The sequence below is a fragment of the Homo sapiens genome, chromosome 18, assembly GCF_000001405.40.
Source record: "Homo sapiens chromosome 18, GRCh38.p14 Primary Assembly".
NCBI classification, from domain to species: Eukaryota; Metazoa; Chordata; class Mammalia; order Primates; family Hominidae; genus Homo; species Homo sapiens.
This window is the reverse complement of record NC_000018.10, coordinates 41,516,153-41,541,075: the sequence shown is the minus strand read 5'-3', so window position 1 is coordinate 41,541,075 and position 24,923 is coordinate 41,516,153. Positions and strand designations below refer to the sequence as shown.

The 24,923-nt window shown below is 37.2% G+C and overlaps 1 long non-coding RNA gene across 1 annotated transcript in view; it reads left to right on the top strand.

Annotated features, from left to right (window-relative positions):
- The first annotated feature begins 20,398 nt into the window (after positions 1-20,398).
- KC6 (keratoconus gene 6) overlaps positions 20,399-24,923 on the top strand; it is a 40,407-nt gene continuing 35,882 nt past the window's right edge. The window contains exons 1-2 of the long non-coding RNA NR_002838.2: positions 20,399-20,692; positions 24,521-24,656. This is a non-coding gene — a long non-coding RNA (keratoconus gene 6). The remainder of the gene's footprint in view (positions 20,693-24,520; positions 24,657-24,923) is intronic.

The window sequence follows — 24,923 nt, the reverse complement described above, 5'->3', positions numbered from 1 at the left end:
TGAAATGATACCTTTAGAACATAATTAATACTTTACATTTGCACGGTGCTTTTGAGCTCTTCAAAGCATAGTTCATCTATTATCACATTGTGTTTTATTTTTTATAACATCCCAGAGAGTAGTGGAACATGCTCTTGTTATTCTCATTCAGAGATGCAAAAGTACAGGCAGAGAAAGGTAAGGTGATTTCCCTCAAGGTCATGCAAGAAATTAGTAGGAGACTTGGAACAAAAATTCTACCTTTCTGATTCCTAGTGTCATCCTCTTTTCTTTATCTGCCTCTTCTACCTCACAACATAGTTGCTCACCTTCAGCATTCAGATTCCACTCAGAGACTGAGTGGTACAGCCGTCACTACCCCAGAGTCCACTGCCTTGTTGCTTTCCTGTTGAGTTATTTCTTCATTTATCATCCTATTGTGGCACCTACTGTGGCTCTAGACTCACATGTGGGAAGAAGACCTTTTAAACCTGCCATAAATCAGACACATTTTACCTTGCTGTTGTCTGTGGTCTTTGAAAAATCTATGTTTTAGTTAAGACATTTTTCTTAGGCAAGTAAAGGTCTCTTCTCACTTTAATGAAAACATTAGGCTCTATTCTGTGTCATCTGATTTTTCCTGTGTGACGAGGTCCATTTGCAGAGTTAAGTGGGTCTGCCCAACTACTGATAAGATGCATCAACTTCTATTACATCACCCCTCACTCAATTAGGACCCCACCCTCTCTTCTTCTAAAGTGTTACATTTCCAGAAATGTATGGAATCAGCCTGCATCAGCAATAAAACACTGCATAGATTCATCGAAGCTCCCTCTATGTTTTTCTTCATCTGTCTCTGTCCCATTTACCTGGAAGAAAAGCAAGAGTCAACACACCGATTCTGTTACCTCAATGAGAGAAAAATAACTGTATTTCTCAAGAGAAGGTCAGTCTGGCAGTAAGACAAATACCCAGGATTTTGAGAGGGTGTAGTGCCATCAGATACTCATGTCTATCCTTAGGCAGTTCACTCCTCGTTCCCTAATGGTACTCAGTCTGGGCACTGGTGATATTTAAGTTTCCCAGTGAGCTGTGGTAGCTATATCTAGGTTGTCAAGGGCAGCTCAGGTTTGAGAAAATGCTTTTAGGGAGTGTGAGTTTAATTAGGTGGGGGGTAATTTAGGCCCAAATGTTGCTTTGTGCTGAAATGCTCATATAAGTTCTGCTCTTGATTATTTGATTACTTGCCTTCATTCCCTGCCTCTGTAACCCATCAACTTAGAAAAAAATAACAGCTGTGTAAGTTTATCCTTAAAGGCAACGAGCCCATGGAAATTTCTGTACTTTTTGAGGACAACAGGAGATGAAATAGAAGTAGTATTGTATGTTGGAACATCTCTTGTATGAACAGCTTTGTGGTAAACAATACGAATGGTAGAATAAAATTGGGTTTTTACTTAAAGAGTTTACAAACAAGTAGTAAGACAAGAGAAATGGGTACAGTGTAGTATATGCAAACATTTTGTAGACCAGTGCTAGTCTAAACCAGGACCAACTGGTGCAGGGTTCAAATGCAGGTGGTCAGGTTGCAGAGTGGAAAGATTGTGTATGGCAGAAGAAGTCAAGACTGCTTTGTGGAGGAAGTACCTTAGTGTTGTCTTTGAGAAATTGTCACATTTGGATAGACAGAGAGCAAAGAGAGAGCATTCATGGGCGGGGTAGTGACAAAATCAACGGCATGGAGGCAGGGAGAACTGCGACATTGCAGACTATGGGGAAATGACTTATATGAGGAAGCAGTCAGCTCATGTGGGACCTTAAAAACCTCTGGAAATGAAGCCTCCCAGGACCTTTTCAAAGATCTTTCCTTTAAGTCTCAGCGGATGACAGCCAATTTTCAGAGAGCCCTATTTGAGTGCCAAACTTGGAAAATGACATTCAGCTGACATTTAACAATTTGCACACATTTTGCAAGGGCTTTCTTTTTCATGTGTGAAACCAAACTGAGAGAAGACAAAATAAGATTGTATGGCAACCCCTGATATGAGATTAAATCAGAGCATTGTTTCAGTTAAAACATCCTTCCTTCTAATGTTATGGCTGAGAGCAATTGACTCTGATTAATTTTAGGGCCAGAGATAGCATCCTCTGAATTCTGATCTAGATTAGACATCAGACTTCCTGTGTGGTTATGGAGTGGACATTCCTCCTGCTGTTTTTACAGTCTCATGGGTAAGGGCCATCCATGGGACCTAAGGGTTCTACCAGAGAGTTTACTAGGTATACTTTTTAAAAAATGTTTACGTGTTCGACATTAGGCAGTTGTTTAAATGGTGTGCATTTGCATATAACTCACAGATCTAAAACCAGAAAATAATGTAGACATCATCTTTTTCAGTGTCCCAGTTACAACGATAAGGAGACACCCATTCATGAAGGCAAGGTGCTTCACCAATGAGTCAGGTTGAGATGTGGAGCCAGTGTTGGCTTCTGACTGAATGTTCCCTGCTCTTTCCAGAGTATGTGTGCATGTGTGTGTGTATGCATGTGTCTGTGTGTTCATGCATGCAGGCTTACACATACATACAAAATAACCAAAAGTATTTAAAATTACTCAAAATAGCAGAAATTTCAAACCTCACATTTGTTATGTATCTGTAAAGGCCCACAGGGAATAGCTGCTGTGGAAGTTTGATGCAATGTTTCAAACCAGTAAAGAGATAAGGAACTTAAGTACATTCAGAAAGAAAAGATTTCTTCTTGACTTTTAATTACATTATATGGATGTTACTTTGGAGACATTATTTGTTGACCATGATTACTTCTCCTCTACTCTGTTTCATTTTCTTCTTCCTTTATTTAACCTGAAAAAAATCATTACGTGCATCCAAATCCATAATAAATTGTGATTTGACCATGCTAAGGTAGCAGATGGTAACTTCTAGGCAGTCCTGATCTAGTTTACTGGTAATTGTTAAATAGTGGTTCTCAAATATTGGCAACTGGCTTGGAGACAACCTGGAGACTACATTTTTTTCCCCATGTACAAATTAATTTCACCTTAATGACATTAATTTCATTTAACAAAATGACTCTTGCCATTCACTTAGGAGATTACAGAATGTAAGTTGGGTAAGATAAGGCCAGGTCATTCGAGGGAATAAACTTTGTTTAGGTTCATACTTGTTTCAAGGGGCCCTTAATGGATTTTACAGAGGCTTTAGATAAATAAAGCTGCATCCGTTTTCATGAGGAATTCAGAAGCTGGTGGGGAAAGACAGGCATTTCACAAATAGCGCTACTAAGTGCCACAAGTCTCTTTTGAATGAGATGAAGAATACATAAGCCTGTAATGGAGGGGCACAGTGTGGATAGCCACACAAGAGAGAGAATTTGATTTGACTGGGGCACTAGATGCAGCTTCAAAAAAGGCATGGTATTTAAGGCAAACTATTAAGAACTGGAAAATGGCAGAAGGGTATTCCAAGGGAATATTTTGGGGCAATGATGTGGGAGTGTGCAGGTCAAGTTCTGAGAATAGCAAGAATTTCAGAGAGCTGCAAGAACGAAGTTTATATTGCATGGTTAGGCTGACAGGTTGGTGAATTGGAGTGATGGATGATCTTTGATGAAAGTAGGTTGCTTTTGGATTTACATTGCAGAGATTGGGAAGCACTGAGGCACGAGGGGCAGAGTCAGTGGCTTAGAATCATAGAACACTGGGGCTGGGGGGTGTCAGACAAGCTTGGACACTCTGAGCGGCATGTGGTAATTCCCTTCTCTTTTTGTTCCTTGTGCCTCTACCATAGCCCAAGAGTTGATGGAGAGAGAAAGATTTAAACGTTTCATTCCTTATTATGAGTATTTTTTCCCTTTAATACTTTCATGAGGGAATATAATAAAGATTAAATTGTTTTCTTAAGTTATTTTGCTTGCCAGATGCTATTGTGTGTGTGTTTTTTTTTGTGTGTGTGTTTGTCTTTGTTTTTGTTTTCTTTTTGCACAGTACCACATCAGAATTGAGCCATCAATTGGCTGGGCACTATATAGGCATCACATATAATTATGTTTGGTTTCCTACTGCTTTTTCTATTTTCCTCATTAAAAATATCTCCCATGCACAAGTATGTTTATTGCAGCACTGTTCACAATAGCAAAGACTTGGAACCAACCCAAATGCCCATTGATGATAGACTGGATAAAGAAAATGTGGCACATATACACCATGGAATACTATGCAGCCATAAAAAGGATGAGTTCATGCCTTTTGCAGGGACATGGATGAAGCTGGAAACCATCATTCTCAGCAAACTTACACAAGAACAGAAAACCAAACACCACATGTTCTCTCACTCACAAGTGGGAGTTGGACAATGAGAACACTTGGACACAGGGAGGGGAACGTCATACACAGGGGCCTGTCAGGGGTTGCGGGGCTAGGGGAGGGATAGCATTAGGAGAAATACCTAATGTAGATGAAGGGTTGATGGGTGCAGCAAACCACCATGGCACATGTATACCTATGTAACAAACCTACATGTTCTACATATGTACCCCAGAACATAAAGTATAGCAATAAAAAAAGTAGCAAAAAGAAAAATGTCTGCAGGCTTTCAAGATGCTATCCTGTGTAAGAATTCTTACTTTCATCTTCACTTATAAGTAACTTTAGGAACTTGATATTCTACAATTTCATCTTACATTTTTGAAATACTGTAGGCAACACAGCACACCATAATACTTTTTTTATATTTCCCATAATTTGATTCATATTTTTGTTAAACTTCCACTTACTTTTCTGAAGTTGTCCAGAAAATGAAGTGATTAGTAACTTTTCAAATGATGGGGAGCAAGATCTGGCTTGTTACAATTGGCCACAAGTGCACAAAGCCACACTAGACAGAATTGGTCACTTTGCTATAGCAACTGTGGGTATATTTTTGTTCTCTGTTTATGTACCTGTTTTCTTTGGGTCCTAATTCGTGGCCTTCATTCTCAGTCATAATTGGGAACATCCCCACTTTGTTTGATGATATCTTCTCTAGTGCTTCCAGGTGTGTTGCTCTTGGATCTTTTCATTTGGAGAATGAATCTTGGTATGTATTTCTTGTTTCACTGTTTGACTCTGCTCCACTTCCTGCTATGCCAGGAAACACTACATTATCTAAATACTTCTTCTTTGCTTCAAGAATGCAGAATACATTATCTTCCTTCTTTACTTCCTCCCTCAATCTCTGCTTTCCTGGTTTACTACCTTCAATATATATAGAGTCCCTTTAATGCACAAAATAGTACAAAGATCCCTGGAGAACTGGGGAAGAAAAGCACTCTGGTCTTTAATTTAGGACACTTTAGGTTTAATTTCAGTTTTGTCACTAATTCACTATATAAACTTCACTAATTCTCTTGACTTTAGGGGCTAAATATCAATACCTATAAAATAAAACATTTGGACCAGATTAAATTAGGGCCCTTCTAAGGGTAACTATCTTTGGAGATATATATATATATATGTAGTCTTTATACTTGTCTACCCTGAAGTCACTTACTGCCAGTGTTGCCACTTAATTGCTTGAGAGGTCTCTTTAATCCTATTGACTTATCTCTTTTCTATCATTTCATATAGCTTCTTTCTCTTTTCGTCCGGCAGAATGTCTCCATGGTAGGTGACAGGAAAATCCTTTTTGGGATACTAATAGACAAGCCAATCACATAGGTGATTGTGAATTTAGGGGATAGTTTCTCAGACCTAGAAGTAGGAAGAGTCAAAGGATGAATATGGTATTCACAGAGCTCTTAGGGCCAGTAAAATTACCTGCCAGATAACGTTGGTAGAGGGAATAAAGACAGGGCTGTAAGCAGTAGGAACTAGGTAAGTGTGAACAACTGAACAAAGAAGGTACAAGGTGAGAGAGCTTGATATAATTGCTGCACATTTGTCGGTGAGCTGGACACACCTTTTATTGTTGCTGATTTATTAGGTAGTTATGATAATGGATGTTTCTTAGACAGAATTTGTTTGTTTAGGCTGTAGCCAGACTGATAGGACTCTGAAATAAAAGCAAAGCATGGTAGTAGATTTTTTTTCTTTTGATCATATTGTAGGCTATACCTTAAATCTATCTGATTTCCCTTCATCCTCCTACACGCTGTGAAAGCAGAAAGTTAAATTGAAATATCACAAGTTTCCTTTGATTTTCTCTTCCAATTGGCTTGGCTGGAAAGCTTTAGGTTATAATCCGTAACACTTAGCTCTTATTTTGTATGCATGTTTGTGACACAATTTGAAAAAATAAAATGCCACTTAAGACTGGGATGGGCGACTGTGTTTTTCCAGTCGACCTTCATGGGTTCTGAGTTTAGAGCTAAACTCGAGCCTGTCTGTGTTCCAGTCCAATTATGCCAGTGAAACGTGATTTCATTGTTCAAAAGGAAATGGCTTCTTTTTTTTAAAGGCCCTTAGACATCAAATAATTTCCTCAAAAAATAAATTGCAAATAAGTCACACCAATACAGAATTAACTCTCCCTGAAATAAATTTGAGTTCCACAATTAAAGAAGAAAGAATTCGTCAACAAATTTAGCAAAGAATTTAAGAAGTCAATCAATAGCATGTATTGACTTCTTATTGTATGCCCCATCCTGTCATAACATCATGTGAGAGGCAAGAGGGCTAGAAGCCTGCAGTCTTTCTCTAAACCATCTTATGACCATTATGTTTATACATAAAACCCTTCAAGGTATCATCCCGCCTACTCCAAAATTCTGTATCTTGAGGATTCTCCGAGCACAACTCTCAACAGTAAAAATAAAAATTCTGACACAGATAGCCCAGTTCCAAATGTAAGGCATTATTCTCAAATCAGAATACTTTGTTTCATATTTGGGAAAATAATTAATAGGATGGGAAAACAAGAAAACTGGCTTTCAAGAGGGAGAGAGGCAGGTAGTTAAATATCAGTTAGGAAATTGGCCAATGCATGTGAAGATAAGGACTAAATTTATTCTTCAGTCCAATGGAACAGGTGTGGAAACAATACAAAATGCCAACAGGGCCTCTAAGGAGATGGCAGAGCAGTTGGTTCTACACATTCTAGCCTGACATGTTTATGTCTATGGAAGGGTAAGGAGACGAGTAGGGAAGTAAAAAATCCAATAAAGGCAGTCTTTCTCTTGCCTTTCATCTTCCAGGCACACCTAGGCGAAGACTCATGGATAATGCCAGAGTAGCAGTTCTCCATGTAAGCTACGCTTAAAATAACAAAGAGGCAGAATGAAGGAGAAGTGAAGTGGGTGGGATCTGGAGCCAGGCTGTCTAAATTTAAACCCTAGATTTGCATCATACTAATCACACAACCTTGGGACATTTACTTAACCAATTTGTAACAAGGACCAAATATTGCAATGTATTCCATCGAATAGTTTGCAGAATTGAATACATTATTTCACTGGACATACCCTGAAGAGTGCCCAGCACATAGTCAGTACTCAGGAATGTTGTTAGTAATTGTTATGACTGTGGTGTCCACTGGTTGGTGTAGTTTGAGAAAATCTTAATTACTTATATGTTGGATAAAGCAATTCTAGTATATGATTTCAGAGATAAGAAGCAAGTTTGTCCAACAACACTTAAAATTTCATCTCTACCAGATCATCCATCTTTTAGAGCATTGAAATGGTAACAGAACTCATCAAGTCATGATTTCAGGAAAGATTCAAAATGTAAATTATCTGCCATTATATTTTAAGCCATGAATAACGTATTTGTTCCTGGATTAGATTTTGATAAAGGAAGAGCAGAAGATACTAGGAGAAACAGAGAGTAGAAATGGGGCATAGAGTTTGGAGAAAGCAGTTTTATGGAAATGGAGAAACAGTTCCTACTGCCAAGGCTTGAGGCCATAACACGAACCTTACTGACCTTGCGACTTTGCCATCAGGTGCTCTGAACTCAGATGTGACTATTAATAACACTTACAGTAACACATAAAAGAAAGTGTTTTATGGAATTGAAAGCTGAAAGTGTTGAAAAATAAATTGTTTACCCCCATTTTTTCTTTCCTTAAATCTTCAGTTTCCAAATGTGTTTGGCAATTTTTCTTTTTATGCTGTTGTTGCTTTACATTTTGCCAGTGGTTTGTGCATGTACTGAATATTTATAGAGAAACTCAATACACCATAGATCTTGTAAGTGCCTCGAGGGCAGGACCTGGGTTAATAAAGTCATAAAATTATTCATAACCATTCTGGGTGAGAGCCATATACTATTACAAAACTATATGAATGTTAATAAAAGGCATAGAAAAAGACCTAAATCACAGATCACTGAAGCCAAAATCGTGGTCATAGGAGGTTTTAGAGTTCAGATCAACCTGAAATCTTGTTTCAGAAGATAAGATTGTTTTATATACTGGTCAGGCTAGGTTACTCTATGGGAAGCAAAAATCTCTGTGGTTTAGAACAAAGTTAACTTTTCATTTACATTAAAAGTCCATCAGGTGTCAGCCAAGAGCTCTGCTTCATATCATTTTATCCTGGGACGCAGGCTCCTAGGGAGCCCACATTGGCAGCATCGTCATTGCCAGAGTGGAGCAAAAGAGATAGTCACAGATCCTGCACTGGCTTTTAAGCCTGGAAGTGACACACATCACTTCCGCTCATATTTGTTGAAGCAAGTGCTATACATATGCTTAATTTAAAATAGGGTAGACAAGTGCAATTCTACCATGGCGCCTGTATGGTGGACTCTAAAATATTTGGGGAGTACTACTAATGGCCATCAGAGCTGAGATCACAAAAACATTTTCTTGCTGGATTATCCGTGTGTACTCAGGGTTTTGGCAAAATAATTAAGCCTGCATTGGTTGGATGTTAACAGCTTCATAAAGAGTATAATATGACATAAAGAACGTTGATATTCATCTACTGAGCATCTACTACATGCCAGGAAAAAGTAAGTCCCAGCCACTATTGGTAAGCAAGACATATAAAATACTTCATTTAATAGTTTTATGGCACATTGTCAATTGAGCATGCTTTCATGAAAGTGGCTGAAACCAAAAAAGTGTGATTTTCTTCAAGTAACAAGAAGTCTGGAAATTGGTGTTTGTTGGTATTAATTTGGCTGTCAATCATGTCATCAAGGACTCATGCACTTATAGTCTTTGTGCTCTGTGCCATTCTTAGCATGTTGGCCATTTTTTTCTCACCCTTGATCCTTCTGGGTCATAAGATAGTTACTGTAGTTGTATGAACACTTTACTGAAAACCAGAGGAAGAGGGAGGGTGGTAGTATTAGCCACATCTGTCTCCCTTGTCAGAAAAACAAAAGCCTCCCTAGAAATCCTCCATGTTTCACCCTTATATCCTACCTATCATATAGGGTTCACATTCTCTCTCTAGTCAAATCACTGGCAAATAAAAAAGAACTTATTAAAAATGAGTTAATTGGGAGGCTGAGGCAGGTGGATCACCTGAGGTCAGGAGTTTGAGACCAGCCTGACCAACATGGAGAAACCCTGTCTCTACTAAAAATACAAAATTAGCTGGGCGTGGTGAAATATGCCTGTAATCTCAGCTACTCAGGAGGCTGAGGCAGGAGAATTGATTGAACCCAGGAGGCGGAGGTTGCGGTAAGCTGAGATCGTGCCATTGGACTCCAGCCTGGGCAACAAGAGTGAAACTCTGCCTCAAAAAAAAAATGGGTTAAACATTTACAATTAATTTTCTGGAATCAGTGAAACACTTTCTGCATTTAAAATAAAATTGAGGATTATTGTAAGCAGAGATGAAGGGGTACGGCTTTTGTATTATTAAAACATAGAGTGAATGGTATCAGCCTCCATGATTAAATGTCATAATAGTGGTACAGCTGTTAGGCACTGTGAAAAGGCAGAGAAGAGAAGTCAGTGTCAGCTTGTGTGGTCTGGAACAACTTCTTCATTATGTCCTCAGTTTGAGTACAACACTCAGCATTTGCAGAGGGACAATTACTTGAAGGAGTGATGTAATAATTTGCTATGGCTTTCATAACAAAGTGCAATAGACTGGGTAGCTTTAACAATAGAAATTTATTCTCTCACAGTTCTGGAGGTTAGAAGTCCAAGATCCAGGTCAGCAGGATTGATTCCTTCTGAACACTGTGAGGGAAATCTGCTCTATGTCTGTCTTTTAGCTTCTGGTGTTTGCTGGACATCTTTGGTGTTCCTTGGCTCATAGATGCATCACCCTATTTTTGCGTTGATGATCACATGGTGTTCTTTCTCTATGGATGTCTGTCTCTAAATTTCCCTTTTTGATAAGGACAATAGTTATGTTGGACTAAGGCCCACCTTAATTACTTCATTTTTACTTGGTTACCTCCGTTAAGGCCCTATCTCCAAATATGGTTACAATCAGAGGTACTGGGGATTAGAACTTCAAAGGGTAAATTATGGAGGAAGAGATTTCAACCCACAACAGCAGAGAACAGCATAAACAAAGCATCTGAGGCACAAAAATACACTTCATGTGAAATTGCCACCAAGTGATATCAAAGTATACAAGGTGAAGAGGAAACACGGGGACAAATACAAAAGGGTCTTGAAAGCAGGTACACTGGTTTACTTACTGGATGCAGCAGGCAATAAAACTTGAACAGAAGAATAAGTTGGTGGAAGAAGAAGGAAAATGAGAGGGATCAGGTGTCAAAGAGATAGATTTTTAGGTTAATATGTGATGATGAAGACCTAGAGCAGTGTCAATAGAATGGAAACTGAGGACAAGCAACAGACATGAGAGGCATTTGCAAAGTATAAAAGTTAGGATTTAGTGATAAATAGCATAAACTGGAAAAATGAAAGAGCAGTAAAACATGACATCGAGGAAACATACCAAACTGTTACCATGCTTAGCTGTGGGCATTTGAGGAAGGAATGGGAGAGGAGCCTACGGAAGGGAGAAATTTTCACTTTTAATTCCACACATTCTTTATTAGTGCTTTAAAAAATTAAACAGGGAGTATCTAGTATCTACATTTTTTTAATTTCAGGAAATTTGTGGATTTTTTAAATCTGATGATGTTTTATATTGCACATATTGAATTGAGATAATTCTGAGACATCTGAGTGGAGGTGCCTCATTGGAATTAAAAGACTTGGGGTCACATAGGAATCATTCACGTAGAAGTGATAGGTACAGTAAAATACTCATAGCAGCGTGGTGGTGATTATTTAGATGCTCGAATAATAATGGCAATTATTGAGTGCCTACCAGGTGCCAGAAACTTTATATGTATTGTCTTATCTAATCCTCACAATTACTTTACGAGAGATATATTATTTCTGCTTTATAAATGAGAAATCTGAATCTTTGAGACATTAAGCAATTTTCCGGGGATCATATAGCATGTAAGGGTTGGGAGAGCCAGCTTTCAAACCCATCCCTATCAGACTGAAAAGTTTATGTGCTGCAACTCCACTCTTCTTGAGGATAATTACTTCATCTGTGGATAATGAATTCCTGCCATGGGGCAGCGTATTAGGAATCACATAGGAGATAAAACTTAGCTGTTTTCTACAGGTGGGTGGAAAATTACATTCCCTCCTCTTTATGTGACACAGGCCAGATGAGGGGCATGCAGAATATGAGATGTCTGACAGGAGGAAATTATCACCCATTAAGCTACAAAAGTTCCACTCAAATCAAAGATGAAATTACTCTAGAATGATGAGAGGGACTTCCCTGACAGACATAGTAAAGTTACTGGGCACAACCTCTAAATTCTCCACACTGGATCTGTTAATTCAGCATTTCCTGATATTTGGGGAGAAATATTGCGCAATACTATGCCAAAGCTATTTTGAGCAAGAATAAGCACTTTGTAATGAGCATGTAAATTTCTCATTTCAATAAAAATACCATTGCTCTATACAAAGAGATGGAGAGCTAGGCTAAATTTGCTACTCTTTTGGAATGGACATAGTAGAAAGGAACTAAAGAATTATTCTGTTTTGGAGTTTCGAACAAAGTAGAAACTTCACGTCCTATCAATAAATGGATCAGTGTTGACTAAAGAAATGAAAAATAAAATGAAGTTTAAAATTCTCTGTAGTCATAAATTTTAATTTTGCCTAAATGTGTAGATGAAATTCTTAAAGAATTATTATTTTGAGGTAAATAATTCTTGTCCATTTTTGTCTACATTGAACAAATCCCTTGAAATTTCCTTGTCAGACACATTTATATTCATTGTGGGTTGAAGGGAAAAAGCAGACCCACACGTAACACTTGCAGGGCTGGTGAACACACACTAATGGAAGTTTTCATACCACATATCTGAATATTAAAAAACTATAACTCAATAAAAAAACTGGTAAATAAATTAAAGACCAGGAGGAGCTTCAGATCTGAATGCGGAATTCACAGGTTCTTAGGATCCATGCAGAATGTGATGCGTGGGAGACCTGGCCATGGGCCCTGGTTTTCAGTCTTTGACCAAGGATCTGTTCTTCCCATCCCCAGCTCTATTCAGCATTACAGTTGTTTGCATTACACATGTTCGTGCTTACATGTGTGGACACTTCATTCTGCATATCCAAGCCCCATTCACAGCATTTGGCCAGTGGGGACATGAGGTGCACCCTGGAATTACGGTTGGCTCTTGGAAGAAGAGACCTGAGGAAGAGGCATTTGCAAACCTTGGAAATGCGTTCGGAGAAATTAGGTTAACAAATTTCTGGGTTCTGTGTATCCCAAGGTGGTGTTAGAAGGGATGTTACTAGGATGAGAATTAGAAACCAGATACCCGGTTAGCCTGATTCTCCCAATTATTTGCTTGTCACCTTTAAACATTTACAGGCAACCTAAACAGGATTATTTGTTCCACTAAACCATTGGTACAATGTGGAAGAAGAAATTATAGAAATTCACTTGAAATTGTATAGATAATGATACTTTTCAAATGCAAGAGAGCAGGGTTGCTTTAGGGGATTTATGGTAGAGAATTATCTCAATTCTCAGTCTTGAGTGTATGGACACAGTGGAAATGAATATTCTGTAGTTAAACATTCTACAATAAAAGAAAGGATGTAACCACAATGCTACTATTTTCAAGCTATATATTTATTTCTTTTCATCATGATTTTATAGAAAAGGATGTGAATAAAAGAATACATTTATGCTCAATTAGTTTTTATTTTTCAGCCACAGTTTTTGCTGAAATAAAGAACAAAACCACAATGAGATACCATCTCACACCATTTGGAACAGCTATTATTAAAAAGTCAAAAAATAACAGATGCTGGCGAGGCTGGGGAGAAAAGGGAACACTTACACACTGTTGATGGGAATGTAAATTAGTTCAACCACTGTAGAAAGCAACTTAGAGATTTCTCAAAGAACTTAAAACAGAGCTACCATTTAACCCATCAATCCCACTACTGGGTATATTCTCAATGAAAATAAATAGTAGTACCAAAAAGACACATGTACTCAGATATTCATCACAGCAATATTCACAATAGCAAAGATATTGAATCAACCTAGGTGCCCGTCAATGATGGCCTGAATAAAGAATGTGGTATATACACATCATGGAATACTATGCAGCCATAAAAAAGAATGAAATCATGTCCTTTGCAGCAACATGGATGCAGCTAGAGGCCATTATCCTAAGTGAACTAACAGGAATGGAAAACCAAATACCACAAGTTCTCACTTACAAGTGGGAGCTAAGCACTGGTTACACATGGACAAAAAGATAAAAACAATAGAAACTGGGGATTACAAGAGGAAAAAGAGTTGGAGGAGGAGATAGGAAGGGCTAAAAAATTACCTTTGGGGTACTATGCTTACGATTTGGGTGGTGGGATCATTCAGACTCCACACTTCAGCATTGCAAAATTTGCCCATGTAACCAACGTGCACATGTACCCCCAGAAAACTAAAAGAAACATTGAAATTCTTTTTAAAAAGAACACCTTTCTAGTCTGCCTTAGCAAACACATATTGTGCTGCTGTCTGCATCTGGGAAGTTCTTGGAAGAATGGGATTTTTTGAGTCAAATATTCATCCTTGTTCTGCCATTGAGTCACTCATGGCTTTTGGAAGATCGTTTACCTTCTTTGTGACTGGTTTTCATTTTAAAATGAGACTGTACATCTTATTTTCACATAAGTAGGTAGAATGCCAGGTCTGTGTTAAACATAAGGGAGACCCTGGGACTGGAGATATGCTAGAAATACTCACAGAAGAGGAATCAGCTCAGGAGAAGTTGAAAGATAGTGGAGTCAAAGATACAGCGGAATTTTATGTTACAGGGTACGTGCCATATTTACAATCCTCATCCTTTTTCTTGTGTTGATAAGTGTGGGCAGAGGCAGAAGATATACATCAAGTTAGAATGTGAGGCTTGAAGGAGGATATTAGTAGACACTTGCTACATGAAAATGAGGAGCAAAGGTAGATGCAAGGAATCCTAGAAAGAAATTGGAAATTCCCAAGATAAGAAATTTTCTTGGCTCTATCTGTGTAGATTAAATTAATGATTAACATGTATTTTAATAATTGTGCATACTAGTAATTTACCATTCTTTATCATATTTGATGTTCCTAAGCCAAATAAAAGCCAGTTTAGATGAATACTAAGCATGTAGTTTAGAAATGTTAAAGTTTGGTGGAGAGGACAGTGTTAAAAAGCTTAATCTGAAAAGTTTCAGAGTTGTCTCTAGGACAATAGACAACACAGTCTGTGGCTCTAACAACTGAGAAAGAATACTTGATGCTTCCAAAAATAATGTAAAATTGCTTTTGAAGGTCCTGTGATTTTGTTCAGCCTTGATTTGGGTCCTGTTGAATGCAGGCCAGATGGGACAAACTGATAAAAACTAAACAGCAGATGTCGGTAGATATCCTGGCAGCTGTTTGATATCCAACCACATGAATTATCAAAATAAAGCCTTATCTTCAGGGATACTGACAAGAATGGAAATATTTTGGAATAGTGCTATAACAGTGGATTCTGCTGTGAAGAAGGATTGAAGTTAAAAGTTTCCTAGGGCAAAACATGGATTTATTTGTTGGGAAAAAAGAATTTTAAGGGCTCCAATGTGGTACTGAATATAACTACTGTAAGAATTTAATGTGTTTTGGCTAAAGAAAGATTTAAATTTTCTTTTCCCAGAGTAATTTTGTGCTGCAGGGATTTCCTGTGATCTGCAGAGCTGTCTATAAACAAATTTTGTATTTTTCACTTCAAAATATTTTTAAATAACAATTGTTGCAATCATCAAATTGATTTTTGAATTAAAATGGGTTTGATATTTTTCAATATTCATTTTTCTTCCTTGACACAGATATCGTTCACTTCTTTGGAAAGGCAAACTTACAAGATACAATCTGAATCACTGAAGAGTTCTTTCCTATTTTTTTTTTTACATACTATCTAAAATCATTCTCAGTAAATGCTCTGATGGACGTATTTCTATTCTTGAAGGCTCTCTTGGTCATAGGACACTTAGACCATTGCTTACATCATCTCTTTCAGGAATGTTTTCACATCAACTCTCCCCTATTTATCCCATTGTCCTTCAGAGATATGGATATGAGAGGCATTCCTCCACAGAAGAGGCTTAACCACTTTGGCCCTTGAGATCTTTACTTGATCAAAACTTCTACAAGCGTGCTGGCATGCTGGAGTCAGCTAGAATTGGATTGCCAGAGCCTGTTGTGTGCACCTGTCCCCAACTCTGTCCAGTGACCTCAGGTTGGTGGCTTGAAATTGACCAGTGTAGGAATATTTACACCATGAAAATTGGCAAATGCTGCTAATCTGGTTATTCCACCCCTGCCTCAGCCCCTGCCAAAGAGTCAGTTGTTAAACATTTATCAGCACATGATTTGACAGTAAACATACCAATAATTTGTTATTTATTATTTACTTCTTTGAGTTGCCAGAAAATTGCTCACATCTATATGTTTTACTTCCTAGCAAGATTGTTGAGCATTTGAGAGCAGGATCCTTTCCTTATATTTATATTTCTAAGCATGCCTCAGATAGTGTTATAGAGCATTGCATATGGACTTAATACATATCAACTTATCAAGACACTGTCAAACTTTAACGAGGAATGGGGATTTCTTTTTCTCAGTAGCACTAGATTGAACTTGCCATATGTCTCCAGGAAACATGACTTCTTAAACAAACAATATAATCACCAGTTAGCTCTTTAAATATGCATAAATAGATGAACCAAGCAATTAAACTATAAGCCAGGTAAACAATACTGGGAACTCAAAATAAATACTGCCTCAATTCAAATTCTGCTCAAATATTGTATCATGCCAAGGCCCAAATAATAGAGTAGACATGGATCACAGAGTTGAATAGTAAAGAAGCTACTCCTAATTATCAGTGTTACAGAGAGGTCAATCATAAGTATTAGGCTAGAAGGGATGCTTGAAATTAACTCCTTATTTTCTTTGAGATTATGGAGGCCCAGAGTGGAGATGTACAGAATTGAGACTAATTCTCTTACTTCTGCCTCCCAACTGAATTTTCTGTCAGTAATTCTACTTTAACCCTGTGTGTAGCCATTTCCTTTTTCAGTTACGAATTTGAGGGGAACATTTTCTGGTGTCTGCCAAACTTAATGGAAACTCTTTTTTTCCATTACATTTTAGTAACACTGTCTTAATGATGCCATTATCTGGCAGAACCTAAGGCACAATTTTTCCTAAATGGGCAGTAAGTCATGCCACTGTTACTCAGGACTACTTTTTTTAAAGAGACAGGGTCACACTCTGTCATTCAGGTTGAAGGACAGTGGCATAATCATAGCTCACTGCAGACTTGAACTCCTGGGCTCAAGCTATCTTCCTTCCTCAGCCTCCCAAGTAGCTGAGATCACAGGAATGAGCCACTGCACCCGGCTCTATGCCAATGTTATTTAGAGTCAAGCACATCAGTTGGGAATTACGAGTCTTGAGTTCTAGACTCTGCCACTTACTCTTAGTATGAACACATGCTCATATATACTTGGACACCAATTCCGTTTATCTTTGAGATATTATGAGGATCAATCATAAGAGTGAATATAAATTGCTTTGAAAAGCAAAAATATATGATTAATATTAGAAAGAAAATTATCTAACTTTGTAAGAGAAAGCAGGGACCTAACAATATTTATATTTTATTTTCTTATCTGTCTGCTTTTAAACCCAATCTGCAGTTAGGTCATAAGTCGATTAAAAGAATTGGATGAAGAGCATATATACCATGTTCCATTCATGTAATAAGAAAGAGATGTGGTCATTCAGATTAATTTCCTTGACCTCTAGCTAGAGGCAAAACCAATGATGCAATAACAAGAAATATATAATTAAATAATGAAATGTACAGTAGAGATTATAAGAACTTTAGGAGTTTAAAGAAAGTGGAGATGTATGAATACAGCAACAGAGATGGGGGCAAGTCTCCATGGATTAGGAGGAATGTAACTGGGACCTTAAAGATGGTGCACACTTTTGACATCTGAGTGGAAGGTCTTTCAAAAGGGAGAAGCACAAATTCTGACCTTCTCAGATGGGCTCCTTCTCAAGAGACTTCAATTTAAAACCAAACTGTTTTGGAAAAGTTTACACTTGCTTTTGTGAAGTCACTTTGGGCTCACCCTAAATGAGCATCTGAGCCATATGTGGCTTATGCCTTTTTCAATATGTCTTGACTCCCAGCTGTGTCAGAAGAAAATAAATAAATAGTGGAAGAAGTAGACTTCCCTTTCAGTTAATTCCTTGGCTAAAATGATGACATTGGAAACTCGGTAAGACAATCTTCCCTTATCCTGAAATTGCAGAGGCCGCCAAAGCAAACCAAAATAGAAAAACAAAGGGCACATCAACATAATGTACATATTGTGGGGATTCTTGAAGGTCAGAGCCTGATCTTTTACTTTTTAGTGACATATAATGCCAATATTTGTTAGATTTTACTGAAGACTAAAGCTCAGACAAAAAAAATTGCATTGCATGACATTTGTTTTCTGTCCTATAGCATTAAATATCCTATTGTTATAAACAACCAACTTTGATGATTAAATGGTTGGGATTATTTTTTTTCATAAAGCACTGTCTGGAACATATTTATAATGAATCACAAGGAGACAGTCCAACATTCCGAACTACAATGAGTCTTCTTTCAAACTCTACCATTAAATAATTAGATAAACAACTAAGTTACAATTATTATTTTTTCTCTTTGTAATATCACATGACATTTGATCCAAAAAGGAACTCTGTTCTCTCTGAAAAGATGTGTTCTTTAGCTCTCACAAATATCAAAGTTGTAAGATTCTCAGTTGTACTGGACATTTGTTTCTCAGTCAGAACAGAGTGTGCTGTAATGATTCGTAAGGAGATGGTGCTAAACCTGAAGCCAATAGGGAGACTCTGTTAGCCAAATGCCCATTTTCTATTTATCATTATTATTATTATTATTATTATTATTATTATTATTTTCCTTGAGATAGGATCTCACTCTGTTACCCAGGCTGGAGTGCAATGGCATGATCTTGGCTCACTGCAACCTCAGCCTCCCACGTTCAAGTGATTCTCATGCCTCAGCCTCCTGAGTAGCTGGGATTACAGGTGTGTACCACTATGTCCAGCTAATTTATGTTATTTTTAGTTGGTCTCAAACTCCTGGCCTCAAGTGTTCCGCCTGCCTCGGCCTCCCAATGTGCTGGGATTACAGGCATGAGCCACCGCATTCAGCCCTTTGCAAATACCCATATTCTGAAACCAAGTATTGACTTGGGTTTGTTTATGGCTGGTATCTTTATTCAAAGAAATCCAAACATATGGATGGAATTGTATCAGGAATCTATAGGCAGTAAGCCCATTCAGTTGGAAACTAGCTTTGAGTGCTAACTTGCAATGCAGTTAGAATGCTGGGGATAAGGTAACACTGGCTGGGGGAAACTGACAAAATTTGGGCATAGACAATGAAAAATGTGGTCAATAGCTGTGGGTACATCCAGACTTATACCAGTGGATGAAGACAGGCTTCCTAATCTTCTCCCTCCTGTTTAGCTTCCAGTCCTTGTTGACTCCAACTGACCACCACTAGTAACTAAGTATCACTGGCAGACTACCACCAGGAGTGGAGTGAGTGCTGTTAACCCAGCAGAACAAGCTGTATTCATGCAGCACCAACTGTGCTGATGACATGGTGAAGACGATGGGGCTGACAGGCACATAACACACACACACACACACACACACACACACACACACACACAAAATATTGTAAAACACTCCCTGAATGTAAAAGCATAATGCTCCCTGAACTTAAAGAAAAATAAGACATTGGCCTAAATGTTTTCAGACTGTGAGTATACCAAATTAGCAAAAAATAAACAATCTAGGAAGATATTTTCAGCTTTTTCTTTGATTTCTCATGCTTCTGTCTACACTGCTGTTTTTCCCTGAGACTCTCTGCATATCCCAGTTTGGGAAAAAAACCTTGCCAGAGTTTATTTGGAAAACCCATGCTGTACCCATCTGAATTTTATTTTGGTGTAGTGTAAGATGTCAACCTAACTTTATATTTCTTTTGTATGTTCAGCCTCCTTTCACAGAGACTGAATTTCAATCAGCTGCTCTCAGTTGACAATGATAAAATTATCTCTATATGGGCAAATGCGTGCTCTTTGTCGAAAAAGAAAGCTTCAGCTTCATGTTCCAGGTGAGTTAATTAGGCAATGTATGAATGCTAATATCTCTTTCACATATTTTGCTTAAGATCTGTCTTAGGACTCTCGTCTGGCCCATATGGTTTTCCAAGGGCAGAAGGGCCTCTTTTTGATGAGAGGCAGTTTTCAGTAACTCTTAAAGTGATAACAGCAAAGGAGAGGAGAGAGAAGAGTAAGACAAATCGAAACATTCTTCAATTGCTTCTTGGCCTTTTGGCTAAGCTCAAGCTCAAAACAGGTCTTCAAGGAGAAAATACATCACAAAGAAAAGGATGTTTTATTTCTTACCTTGTCCTAGAAAAATTTCCATAAACTCTATTGGCTTAATTCTGTAAACTTGACCAATATCAGAGTGCTTCCTACCAAGGAGGGTAGCTGATGAGCGTGACCATGGTACATCCTAGAAGAATGTGTGATGAAGAAGCTTTCACCGTGTAAAAGAGTTGAAAATTATTCAAGGAGACATTATGGTCTTGGCCATAATTTAAGAACCAGTTTAAAATAATTTTTATATAGAACTTAGAGTCTAATTTCTCAGCACAATTCTTCTTCCCTCCTGAGTGTGGGCTGCTGGAGTGTCAGTTCCAAATTCTTATGCATGAGTAATCTTAGCATATTCAGTAATATATTCCTCTTATGAGAAAGTAATCAAGTACAATATAACTGATGACTTTCTTGATTCAGTAATCAGTAATTTGTGATCAATTTTACCTGATGGTGACAGCTTGGTGTATAAGTTAGTGCTAATGTATATTACTGCATTTCATTTCTGTGGAGCCTGTCAGCTGAGCAAAGGAGGGAAACTCAGGATGGAGAACTCCTCCCCCTCCATCCATAAGTGGCACACCACTGGCCTCCTGGTGTTATTAAAGGAAAATTGGAAAAGTTTCCAGAAGATTAAGCAGAAAGCTTACAACTTGCACAAGACTCTCAATTTTCCAGTGGCTCTGACAGAAGGATAAATCTTCGGCTGTTTTAACTAAAATGTAAGCAAACCCAATGTCTAACTACAGTAAACAAAATTTATTATGATTCGGACGTGGCAGTGGTGTTTACATCTAGGTTGACAAAATTGCCAATGTGTGAGACCCTTAGTTAAGAAAAATGTAGCACACTGTTTCTTATCCATCAGGCAAAGGAAAGAGGGATTTTTTTTTCAGCTGTGGACATACAAAGTGACTTTGAAGAGTATGCTTTGGTTATGTATGCACATGTAACCTAACCCAACTTTAAACATAAGCAATGTAAATATCTGACTATATGGTAGGATTTGCATGAAACTCTGCCCTAAAATAAATTCTCAAATTACATACAGCTAATGTATTTTCCCCCTTTTATTCTATTATTGGGCTGGAAATTATTATCAGGGTGAGGTTTATTAAACCATTTTTACCCATAATGCCTGGCCTGAAAATAGTTACTCATATATTTTCTGTCACAGGAAGAAGAACCTTAAGGAGACAGGTCAAATAATAGGTTTAAAATATCGGTTAAAAAAAAAAAAAAAGGCAGCCAGACTACCAGGCTGTTTGGACCATGCTTCTGTGCAGTGGAAAGGCCTCTGCAGACTCGGGGAGATCAGGGTGTAAAGGAATTAATGTTAATTGGAAGCCCTTCTATGTATTTCACATTTTGACTGATCTACAAATAGTATTTGATTGAATTCAAAAATTCGTCAGGCACACCAAACTAGCAACATTTAAACCTGAGTTTCAAGGATGCTCCTTGCACATGGCTCTTGTGCCACTGTGGCACGGAACTTTTAGCCATGTAGCCATTTGTATTGTAGAACAATGTCTAATGGATCAAGGAGTGGTTGGAGAATCCGAGAGTTCTTTAGTGTGGTTCAAATGCGAAGATTTCTTGGGCAATGTAAAGCCCTTATTCTCTCCGGTAAAACCTCAAGTTTTTGCTGGTGATGGATGAGATCTTTTCACAAGGAAAGTTTAATTTTGTAATTAGAAAAATGTTAAAAATCCCACTTGAGAGCTTTATTATCATAATTTAAGGTAATAATTATGTATATTTTTCTAATATGAGAAACTTTGCTAAGAAGTGTTTGAGGGAAGAGACTTCGAAATTAGAAAGAGGAAAAATATTTTAAAAAGGTAGACCGAAAAGATAAAATGGGAGTAGATATTTCATTTTTCTCACCAGACCTTATACTGGCACTAACGGCAAGTGGTGTTTCATGTCTCCAAACTCATCTTACTTTGAATTGGAGCCCAAATCCCTATGGGCAAAAAATTTGATTCTGGATGGAACTTTCTCTAGTCCTGGCTCCAAGCTCTCAGTCACCAGAAAGTTTCTAATCTTTGTTTGGAAAGATAATGTTTATAAACAATCAGAGGAAGTTCTACCATATGCAATGGAGAATATATTGTTATACCAAAGAGAAAATAACAAGGTACGGAACTTGTACAATGCAGGCAGCATACTTCCAAACACATATTTTAGTTCTTAGAATTCAATCACAGATTAGGACTGAGCTTTCCATTCACTTGACTTCTTCCTGTTGGCTACTTCAATATTTACATTATCATAATTTTACTCGTGTACATTCTGTATTACCATAACTGTATACACCGGTGTTGTGTAATGTAGAACATATACCTACTTGCCCTAAAGACTAATAACTGCTCAGTCACAGCATAATTTCACGAGAATTTATTTATGTATTAGATATATGTGTGAAATATTCTATTTTTGATTAGGAATCTATTTATTTCATCTTACTCTAGATTGCTTTTCCTAAAATGTGTCTTATTTTATATGTATATACATTATTTCCCCTATTTTTGCTATCAAGTCATGAACTTTAACAAAGGAATTGTCTAAACAACTGTTGTGTGCTATATATAATTTGTTGCATTTTTGTGTTAACTTATACTTAATATTTTTCTTTTTGTTTTTGTATACTAATTTTCGATTTTGGTTTCTCTTTCTATGTAGGCTTCCAATTCACATATTTACTTATCTTCCTAGGCTATAACTCACTCTTCCAATGGTTACAATTACTTCCCAACATTTTTATTTACTAATTTTTCTAGAGTTGTGGTTTTATTTTATTACTAAAACAGGGCACTTATTTAAATATCTTAAAAAATTAATGATTTCAGCCTACTCCCTTTAGCTCCTACCTTTATCTCTCCTTCAATATCAAAGATCATTGTTCTACTTTTAGATTCATCATTTATGGAGCTAACTTATTGACAATTTAGTTAACTTAAATTTTATGAAATCTTAGACCTCATATTAAAAATGAAGTAGACCTTTTACCAGATTGAGCTGCTTACAATAATCCACATTGTTAATTTCTTTGAACTGCCTACCTGGAATATTTTTACCTATCTGTAGTCTTGGCTCCAACTTGCAAGATTTAAAATTAACAACAGCTTAAACACATGTACCAAATTCCCTCAACTCTGTTACCATTGATAATAAAACACATATTGATTTGATAATAGTTTTTCTGTAAAATACATAAACACACACACACTGCATATCTTCAGAATATACACACACTACACATACCCATATTCACACAGAAGAGTCTATTTTTTACACAAATAGCTTTTTCCTCATTATCTCAAACAGAATGTAAGCCTTTTTCACATTCTGATTCTTAATATTTTTCTGAAGCACTTCTGGTCAATTGCAAATATGCTATCAATATGACAAGCTAATTTCCAAAACCCAAACTTAAAATATTAATCTTATTATCATTTTTAAAGACATATCAAATGATTTAATGCACATTTACTATTTACCATATTTAAATGTTCACTTTCAATTTTCTCTAATTAAAATAATACTACTTGAAGTTAAATAGCTACTCTTAAATATCAACTGAAAGTTTTTGATTGATAGATGGTTAATGCCTCAGGGAGAGTTCTTTAAAATACTTTGTCAGTTCACAGTAACCTTTCCTAAATCTGAAAAACTTCTGATGTAAGTCAAGTGATTTGGCAATTTTCATTGTCTGAAGTTGAATTGTCTATCTTGTGATATGCAATAATTTTCAAATTCAGTATTGCATCATTATAAATTTCATAAAAGGTTTTGTAAGCAACTTCACATAGCACAACTATTGTAACAACTAATGCAGATAATTCAGATAATAACAAAATCTGTTCAATTTTTCTATGTGTTCTGCTTGTTATAAAGAAATGCCTAGGCACTCTGGCTATGCAGATAGGGTAGGCTATAAACTCTGGGTTGGTAGTCAAATTTCTAACATTTTCTTACATGTGTAATTGGGACAATAAGACCTATTCTACAGGGAATAAATGGAAAAATGAAAAGTGCTCTCAGCATGGTGCATGCTATAAAGTAAGTTCTTACTACATGATAGATTTGAAAGAATAATAGCAATAGTGCCAAAATAATCTTGAATATTTGTAAACACTAGAGATTTATATATTTTTTCAAGGTGTATTGGTTTTACGTGTAATAATAGCTAATCTCTACAGTAGCTGTATAAGCAGGAGAAGAATGGACACCATCCATTGAATAAAGTAGAATCTGAAACTCACAAAATTACTGATTTACTCATGCCCCAAGGGCTGATACATTGAGAGCTGGGAATAGACCCCATATCCCATGTCTGGGGCCGAGCTTTACACTGCCCTGTTGCCCCTCCAGTTAGCCCTAAAGAACCTAATCACATTCATATGAAACGAAGACTTTTCCTTACATTTTCCTAACTAAAGGGAAAACACGGGCTGTTTAGAAATATTTTATGCAATTTGAACTGGAACCCACAGGAGTAGACTGAAACTCATGTCAATGTTTGCTGCTTTTAACCTTGATAGGGACGGTCAAGTTGGTATCCATCGTGAAGCTAAATGAATATCTGGACAGGAGTCAGACAAAGGGAAGGAGAATCCAGGGGAAGATGAAGCAGCTGCAGGCCTGTCTGCTACCCTATATCCGGGGAAGAGCCAGAAAGTAAGTGACAACATGGATAAGGTACAAAGTAGCTACTCCTTTACTTTCACACTGAAATATTGCCCCCTCCACTTAAAAAAAAAAGTAGAAGAAGAAAAAGAAAGAACGTTTCTTTTGGCTCACTCTAACCAGAGACATACGAGAAAACTATTTATGGCAAATGAAGTTCAGCCTATCCAAGTTGGCACATTACAAAGCTGCCACAGAGAGCATAGAAAATGGTGAATATTTATAAATGTACCCTTATATGGGTACAAATGCAATGGC